We start from the raw sequence: 9531 nt of genomic DNA on the forward strand, positions 1-9531 counted from the left end.
CTTGGAAATTTGTTTAAGTTCTTTGTAGATTCTGGATATTAGCCCTTTGTCAGATGGGTAGATGGTAAAAATTTTCTCCCATTCTGTAGGTTGCCTATTCACTCTGATGGTAGTTTCTTTTGCTGTGCAGAAGCTCTTTAATTAGATCCCATTTGTCAATTTTGAGTTTTGTTGCCATTGCTTTTGGTGTTTTAGTCATGAAGTCCTTGCCCATGCCTATGTCCTGAATGGTATTGCCTAGGTTTTCTTCTAGGGTTTTTCTGGTTTTAGGTCTAACATTTAAGTCTTTAATCCATCTTGAATTAACTTTTGTATAAGGTGTAAGGAAGGGATCCAGTTTCAGCTTTCTACATATGGCTAGCCAGTTTTCCCAGCACCATTTATTAAATAGGGCATCCTTTCCCCATTTCTTCTTTTTGTCAGGTTTGTCAAAGATCAGATGGTTGTAGATGTGTGGTATTATTTCTGAGGGCTCTGTTCTGTTCCATTGGTCTGTATCTCTGTTTTGGTACCAGTAGCATGCTGTTTTGGTTACTGTAGCCTTGTAGTATAGTTTGAAGTTGGATAGGGTGATGCCTTCAGCTTTATTCTTTTGGCTTAGGGTTGTCTTGGCAATGCAGGCTCTTTTTTGGTTCCATATGAACTTTAAAGTAGTTTTTTCCAATTCTGTGAAGAAAGTCATTGGTAGCTTGATGGGGATGGCATTGAATCTATAAATTACCTTGGGCAGTATGGCCATTTTCACAATATTGATTCTTCCCATCCATGAGCATGGAATGTTCTTCCATTTGTTTGGTCCTCTTTTACTTGGTTGAGCAGTGGTTTGTAGTTCTCCTTGAAGAGGTCCTTCACATCCCTTGTAAGTTGGATTCCTAGGTATTTTATTCTCTTTGTAGCAATTGTGAATGGGAGTTCACTCATGATTTGGCTCTCTCTTTGTCTGTTATTGATGTATAGGAATGCTTGTGATTTCTGCACATTGATTTTGTATCCTGAGACTTTGCTGAAGTTGCTTATCAGCTTAAGGAGATTTTGGGCTGAGACGATGGAGTTTTCTACATGTACAATCATGTCATCTGCAAACAGGGATAATTCGACTTCCTCTTTTCCTAATTGAATACCCTTTATTTCTTTCTCCTGCCTGATTGCCCTGGCCAGAACTTCCAACACTGTGTTGAATAGGAGTGGTGAGAGAGGGCATCCCTGTCTTGCGCCAGTTTTCAAAGGGAATGCTTCCAGTTTTTGTCCATTCAGTATGATATTGGCTGTGGGTTTGTCATAAATAGCTCTTATTATTTTGAGATACGGCGGACGCATCACTTGAGGCCAGGAGTTCGAGACCAGCCTGGGCAACATAGTGAAATCCTGTCTCTACTAAAAATACAAAAAACATTAGCCAGGCATGGTGGTGCACGCCTGTGGTACTGGCTACTGAAGAGGCCGAGTTCGTGCTACTGCACTCCAGCCTGGGCAACACAGCAAGACTTGGTCTCAAAAATAAATAAATAAATAAATAAATAAATAAATAAATAAATAAATAGATATAGAAACTAAGAAGATGATGGTGTTACTCACTGGATGCAAAATGTAACCAACCAGTTATGTAATTGTACTCTGAATCTGTTCTTCTAGTATTGTGAAAGAATGGTATTGGCATAAAGATGTGATTTTTTTCTTGTATGTATTGTTAAAGTCACAGAAAATCATCTATATTGTGGTAAGAGAGAATATATGCCAGACAAATGCTCTGCTGTCTGTCAGAAAGAGGAATAAAGACACAATCTGGAACCAGGAAATAAATAATAATAATAATAATTATTATTATTATTATCAAAAGGAATAATCAGACACTTTAGCAAAAGAAATAAGTTGGAGGGCATTTGTCTTTATTGTCTCTTTTCTATTTAATTCATTTCTTTTTATGCTTTCTTTGACTATAATTTGCACTTGCTTTAGTTTCTCAAGATGAATGCTTAATTTTTAAACTCTTCTTTTCAAATGTAGGCATTTGAAATTATAAATTTCCCTCGAAACAGTTCTTTAGTTGCATCCCGTAAGTTTTGGCATTGTATTTTTGTTACCATTTTGTTAGAAGTATTTTCTAATTTCCCTTCATTTTTTTTTTTTTTTTTTTTGAGATGGGGTTTCGCTCTTGTTGCCCAGGCTGGAGTGCAGTGGCACTATCTCTGCTCACTGCAACCTCTGCCTCCCGGGTTCAAGCAATTCTCTTGCCTCAGCCTCCCGAGTAGCTGGGATTATAGGCATGCACCACCACGCCCAGCTAATTTTGTATTTTTAGTAGAGATGGGGTTTCTCCATGTTGGTCAGGCTGGTCCCAAACTCCCGACCTCAGGTGATCCACCTGCCTCAGCCTTCCAAAGTGCTGGGATTATGGGCCTGAGCCCCCGGCACCCCGCTTCCTTGTTTTTCTCTTTAACACATGAGTTATTTAGAAGTATGTTATATAGTTTCCACCTATTTGGAGATGTGAAAAAGATTTTAACTGATTTATAATTCCAGGTGGTCAGACCCTGAAAGATGTCAGTCTTTTCAAATTTGTTGAGCCTTATTTTATGGCCCAACATCTGTTCTTTCTTGGTGAATGTTCTGTGCACACCTGTTAGGATGTGTATTCCACAGTTTTTGGTGTAGAGGATGGTGTATCTGATTGTATTTATTCTACTTAAGTTTTTTTCTCCTGTGATATTTCTTTCTTTTTTTTGAGACAGAGTCTCACTCTGTCGCCCAGGCTGGAGTGCAGTGGCACAATCTTGGTTCACTGCAACCTCTGCTTCCTGGGTTTAAGTGATTCTCATGCCTCAGCCTCCCAAGTAGCTGGGATTACAGATGTGCACCATCACGCCTGGCTATTTTTTGTATTTTTAATAGAGACGGGGTTTTGCCCTGTTGGCCAGGCTGGTCTCAAGCTCCCGGCCCCATGTGATCCACCTACCTTGGCCTCCCAAAGTGCTGAGATTACAGGCGGGGGAGCCCCTGCGCTGGTATTGGTATTTCTAATAGTGCTTTATTACTCAATGATAGAAGTGCTGAAGTAAAACAGATTTTCAATTTTAACTCTATAAAATTGTGCTAAGAAAATGATGGCGTTACAAAATGTAACCAACCGGTTATCTAGTTGCATTCTGAATCTCTGAATCTGTTCTGCTAGTATGAAGGCTTGAGAGTGGCTATCTAGCAGTATGAACTTATTGTCAGTTTTGCCTAGTTCAGCTAAAAATTTTGAGCTAAAACATTTTGTTTCATCTTAGTCGTGGATTGTAATTTGAAAGAGAACTTCAGACATGAAGTACTAAATAAGTGATATAAGCCATTTTGGCACAAAATGGAATAACAATGCCTTAAATTTGATAAAAACTAGGTGGATTCGGGCTTTATCATTTTCATTTCAACTCCAATACCACAAAGTTTCAGTTCTCTGTGGAGTCCTAGAATGTTCTTCCAATAATCTTGAGCTTACGGTAGACATAAGTTTTAGCAAAAATGTCAGTGTGTTCAGTTACAGTGGTGAAGTAGATTCCCTGCTGGGAACAAAGGATTCTGTGTGCCATATTCAGATGTACAACATTCCAGAATGAGAGTCATGCAAGAAACTGCCTCAGGACAAGCCAGAGTTGTCATATTTTTAATATGTTTTCTTACTGTTACAGAAGTTCAAACAGTTGAATGATATAAATTGTTTTGTACTATGGGTCCAATATAGTATTGATGTGTGACTTTTATATCTGAGACATTTTGTCTTGAGTTTAAGTTAGTTGTCTTCATTGGCAGGGGTGATTTGAGGTGAGTTTCACTTTCTTGAACCCATGTGCCTGATAATTAGAGGGTTCAGGATAAGTTTTGCACATAGCCTTGCTGCCTGCTTATCTTTGTAAAATGGCCCTTTCCTTCAGTCAGTATTTTAAAGTAGGCTACTCTATATAGTTTCCCAAACTCTGGTAGGATACTTTTAACTCTCTGCAGCAGATAGTATAGGGCAAGGGCTCTTTACTAGAGCCAAAAGTAAATGGCATTTTAGGTCCTTGCTCCAACCAGAAAGGTTCACTCCATATTACAGATGTTACTATTAGGAAGAGGTTATAGTGTCTAGAATGTTTGAAAACAAATGTTTGTAGGGAAACAGTGTGTGTTCTTGAAGCTTGTAGTTTTGTTGGTGAGATAAGACAAAATATGTGAAAACCTAAATAGTGGTATAAAACAGGATATATTGAGTCCCAGATGGTTCATAATATGAGTCGTGAAGATGCCAAAGCAAAGGTAACCATTGTGGCCGTGACAGGGTTGGAAAGGAGCTCCTGAGGTTGGGAGAGACAGAAGGAAAGCTATGAAGGTCGCTCCTTGTTCTTTGGCCATCTCTGACTCATCCTATATTATTTGGTTAGGAAAGGAATTATCTCACAGTTTTTATCTTCTGTTTGCAGCCTGAAGAGTTGAGAGAAATCATTGAGAAGACAAGAGAGATGGAGCAGAACAATGGCCACTACTTTGATACGGCAATTGTGAATTCCGATCTTGATAAAGCCTATCAGGAATTGCTTAGGTTAATTAACAAACTTGATACTGAACCTCAGTGGGTACCATCCACTTGGCTGAGGTGAAAGAAACATCCATTCTGTGGCATGTTGGACTTGATCTGGCAAAAACTGCCAATAGGAGGACTGCCCGACACTGCAGCAAGATTGAGGATAAGATGGAAGGCAGCAGTATAAGCTGTAGATCTGTTCTTAGATCTCTTGAATTAGTGAGACGACAGTTCCCTTAGGCAGTTTGTGCATGGCATCCTTTATTCTCTATACATGGCTTTAGCGGTTCTTGCCTCATTTTGGGATTCTAAATGGAAGCTTTCAACAGAGCATTCCATTTTGTCCTGTTAAAACCTTTTGTTTTCACCTAAACCCTTTCTGCTTAGTTGTATCTCTGTGAAAAACTTGTATACACAAGCGTCCATGTCTCACACAAATATTGATGTGATTATTCTTAAGTGTTAAATCATTAACACTTAAATGACTTCATTGGGAATATTGAGCAGAGGGACTGTGCTTCTATGCACTGGGCAAGGCAGTATTTGCTTAGGAAACTAATTTAGTCATCAGAGATACTTTCCTAAAAAGGAAAAATAAAAAACAAAATGGTGCCACTTTGGGTTGAAGCTACTTTGTTAGGCTTGAATTCATTTATATGTCTTTTGATTCTTAAAAAAACAAAAAACATTCCATTAGAAGCACCAGTTTTTTTGCTCAGACTTTGTGGATCAGACTCTACACTCAACACACTCTAATCTACTTAAAGGTATACAAAATATGCTGATCTTTTTTAAATTATGATTTCCTGAATTTTTTTCTTAAGTCGTCTCAACTGATTTACTCACTTAGCTTCCCTTCCCTCATCAGCATAGTATAATAGAATGTATGTTACATTTTTATGAATGGCAGGTGTTCATTATAATCTGTATTGACTTAAAAAGTTTCTTCCTCATGATGCTAATAGTTTTTTGTATACATGGGAGGATAGCACATTTGACAGTTTTTGCATTTTTATGTATGAGCACAGTATCCTATGACTGTGCTACGTATATATAGGTAATAAACTGGAATTCTGTTGATGAATATAGCTGCTGTACTGTATATTAATATTTAATAGATCAACAAATGGTCATTGAAAACACTTGTTTAGCATTAGAATAAAATTATATATGTCCTTGGGAAATATTATGACAGTTGACTTTAAGATCAAAAGGAAGGGAAGACCTGAAAGTCATTTGAACATTTTAGGAAAAGAATATTGGAGAGAAAAAGGTATTAAATATATAGAAATAGGTTTTTAACCTAACAAGGTCTGCCTCTTATGACGAGAATGCAACAGCTTGGTAAATCATAAAAGAAACATTTAAGCTAATAGGATTTTCGTACTGTCTCTATAGCTGTAGCTTTAAAATTCAACGTATATAATTGGCATGGAAACTTAATTTGCAGTCTTTTCAAGCCTTTAGGATAGTGTGATGTGTAACAAACAACCTCAAATGTGAATGCCTTGATTTTATTTTTATGGTGACTTTAGCTACAGCATTTCCTATACCCAGAGCTAAACACTGGAATAATACTGACATCATTTAATTTAACATAAGCAATTATGTTTAAGGAGTAATTTGTGTCATGTACATATTTGATTGATTTTTTTTCTTCTACATAATTTTATTTGAACAAATGTAGACAGTTTATATGTCGCCTTTTTCTGTTCAAATTTGCATGGCCTATTAAGTTGGCTGGAGAGTGTTTTATGTGGAAATATTTTCAAGATAATGTTCCTTAGGAAGAAAATAACATTCTTGGGTTGAGGGAAGGAATGCCATACACTACTGTCTCTTCAGATCTGAAATACTCCAGTTTAGAGCCAGGAAATTTCACAGGTCACACCGATTTTTAGCATTAAAAACTAAGGAATATACTTAGCACTTACTTAATCTTTTCAGTTTTCCAGTTTACGTCTCAGGAATGAAGTGTAGTCTATGGTTGACAATGGAGTTTTGTGATCCTGCTTATTGTAACTGACAACTGTTTTCAACTCCAAGAGCTAAACTATTGGCAGTTCATGTTAAGTTAGAGTGAGGGTGTAGGTAGTGTCAGTGAGTGGCTCTTGTGCCTGCTGTAGACATTAGGCCTGCACTAGGGCCATGTGCTGTCAAGATTCAGGAACATGGCTTTAACAAGCAGATCTTGTATCAAGGCAGAGGTGATGCCATGCCATACTTTTAGGAAGTCTGAGATGATAAATATTTCAAGGTCAGTGAAGTCTATCAATCATTCTCCCCTTCCTCATCAGCAATGGTAGATAGAAATGTCCTAAACTTTTCTAAATCCTAGTGATGAGGATGTGCTGATATTCAACATAGTCCTTAAAGTGAAAACTGAGTTGTTGCTGACCTCCACAAAAGAATATGGAAAAAAGCCTTGCTGTACACCTAGTTGTACAGCCACTCTGGCCAATTCCATTTCCTGTCCCTCTGTGGTTCTGACTGGAGACCCCAGTGTGGGGGAGGTCTTACCATTTAATATAGAAATGATATCAATAACTAATGCTATGTACTTGGAAAATCCAAATAAGGAAGTTTTAGGTTGGTGCATAACTTTGTTTCTCAAATTTTCGTTGTCAGAACAAATGGAAGGAGAATATTATTTAGACTAATCCAGATTTGCTTTCTATGAAAATCTAATGTCTGGATTATCTTCCTTTTCTCATGGCCTAAGAAATAAGGATCAATAAGGAATGATTTGAATGTAATTTTGTGAATGTGTGGAAAATATAAAGCAGGGATTTAGCCTTAATAAAGGTAACCTTCTGACATCTGTTGTTAATCCCCCTTTGTACTCTTTTCCTGTATCTGCACTGTTATTTTGAGATGTCATACTGTACACTGTATTGTAAAAATAAAAAGTAAAATTATATTTCAAATTTTAAAAGCCACTAAGCAATTTCTCTTGCTATTTGCTCGGCCACTCAAGGTTTCCACACATGTAAAGACCACCCTCCTCTTCAAGTTTTTGCCAAAAGCAAGACCATTGGATCCTCCAGCTACAACACAAAATACTTTTTGATTTGTTCTTTACAGAGGGATAGTGCCCCCTGTTGGCACAGGTATAGGTAGGTCCTGTTTCCTTAATTATTAAAACCAACAACTAAGTGTATTAAAGATGGACAACGCAAGGCTGTGAACTTGAAAGTTTTCTGGAGAAGGAGGTATGTAATAATACTCAGGCAAATGGACCTTATGTGCAGCCTGGGATCTGAGGACACTGAGGCAGCATGTGAATTATTGGCAAATATATAACATATTTTGTTTCTCCAGTCTTCATTTCTCCTTTTTTTCTGCTGTACATCTCCCAAAGGTCATAAATCATACACCAACAAACAAAAAGTTTCTTACATATATACACCTGTCACCACAGTTCAGCTTTCCATTCCTATTCCTGATCTATATTCTTCTCCTATGTTTCAGATAACTGACTCCACACAACAAATTATGTGTCCATTGTTTTCTTGATTTCTTTTTAACAAATGCTAAACTATAAAGTCATCTGCACTTTTGTAAGTATTTTAACAAGGCCAATACATTCCAGGTATTTAAGAAGCCACAGGAGAAATCTAGGGTCCTTTGGCTTGTTGCTTTACATTGAATTTACCTACATGTGGAAAACCACTAATCTGGATCCCTACTTCAAACTAATTTTTGCCTCCTAGAAAGGCAGTACGTAATTCTTAAAATATAAAGATCAAATTAAATCAAATCATACTTGACTTGCATTCCAGCTGTGCTCTTTGACTTGTCAAAGTCTCAATTTCCTCATCTGCAAAGTGGAGATGGTAGAATTTACAGTTCAGCAGGCTGTTGGGAAGACGAAATGTTAAACAGTTACCTATTTTTAAAGTACTTGTGAACTGAGTTGTTGGTTTTCCAGTCATTACTGAATTTACACTGAACCTAAGATTTTATTCTGTGAGCAGCAACCAGATTTCCTAAATATCAGCTTCTCCAGAACAGTCCCAATGTCTTTAAATACCCAAAGTTTGAAATATAGATGAAACAGAAAGGAAAAGTTAGGGTGTAAAAATTCTGAAGGTAGACTGCTTAGACTTAAATTCTGGATTTGCTACTTTCTAGCTTTTTAACTTAAGACTACTCAAGTTTCCTGTGTCTCCAATTTTTCCTCTGTAAAATAGGGGGTTAAAATAATATGTGCCTCTTATGGTTGTTGTAATGAAGTAATATAAACAAAATACTTAATACCAGTGCCTGGCACATAACTAAGACCTGCTATCTTATAGGAGATGTTAAATGCTTGCAAAATCATTTAGTACTTTAAAACTGCCTAGACTGGCTGGGCATGGTGGCTTATGCCTGTAATCCCAGCACTTTGGGAGGCCGAGGCAGGCAGATTACTTGAGGTCAGGAGTTCAAGACCAGCCTGGCCAACATGGTGAAACCCCATCTCCACTAAAAATATAAACATTAGCCGGGCATGGTGGCGCAAACCTGTAATCCCAGCTACTCGGGAGACTGAAGCAGGAGAATCTCTTGAATTGAGGAGGCGGACGTTGCAGTGAACTGATGTTGCTGCCACTGCACTCTAGCCTGGGCTACAGAATGAGTGAGACTCTGTTTCAAAAAAAAAAAAAAGAAAGAAAAACTACCTGGACTGTGATGTCACTTGATTAAAATACAGTATTAATAAAGACAGTGTCACAATTTCAGAACTAAACATTATTCCATGGCTAATCATGTCAAAAATGCCTGGAAATGGATGCGAGAAAGACTGAGTCCCCATGGATGGCTCATGCCAAATCAAACAGTACTAAAAACCTCAGACACCTGATGTGGCCACTCAAATGCTTCATCTTCATATATGAAAGCAAGTTTTTATCACTTATAAATAGTAAAAAGTTACCTTATTTCTTACTCTAAAATAGGAACTAGTTATTTTCTTAATTAGCAAATAAGGAAGTATTATAATGCCCTCA

The 9531-nt window shown here is 37.4% G+C and overlaps 2 protein-coding genes across 14 annotated transcripts in view; both read left to right on the forward strand.

Moving 5' to 3' along the window:
• Positions 1–7721, forward strand: part of PALS1 (protein associated with LIN7 1, MAGUK p55 family member) — a 94627-nt gene extending 86906 nt beyond the window's left edge. For all 13 annotated transcript variants that reach the window (XM_047431691.1, XM_047431692.1, XM_011537086.3 and 10 more), the window contains one exon: positions 4440–7721. In XM_047431691.1, coding sequence (XP_047287647.1) covers positions 4440–4616 — 177 coding nt within the window. In that variant the 3' untranslated portion in view covers positions 4617–7721. The remainder of the gene's footprint in view (positions 1–4439) is intronic.
• GPHN (gephyrin) overlaps positions 1–9531 on the forward strand; it is a 1227209-nt gene that overhangs the window by 820194 nt on the left and 397484 nt on the right. The gene's annotated exons all lie outside the window — the stretch shown is intronic.

Source organism: Homo sapiens, chromosome 14 (genome assembly GCF_000001405.40).
Source record: "Homo sapiens chromosome 14, GRCh38.p14 Primary Assembly".
Taxonomy (NCBI): Eukaryota; Metazoa; Chordata; class Mammalia; order Primates; family Hominidae; genus Homo; species Homo sapiens.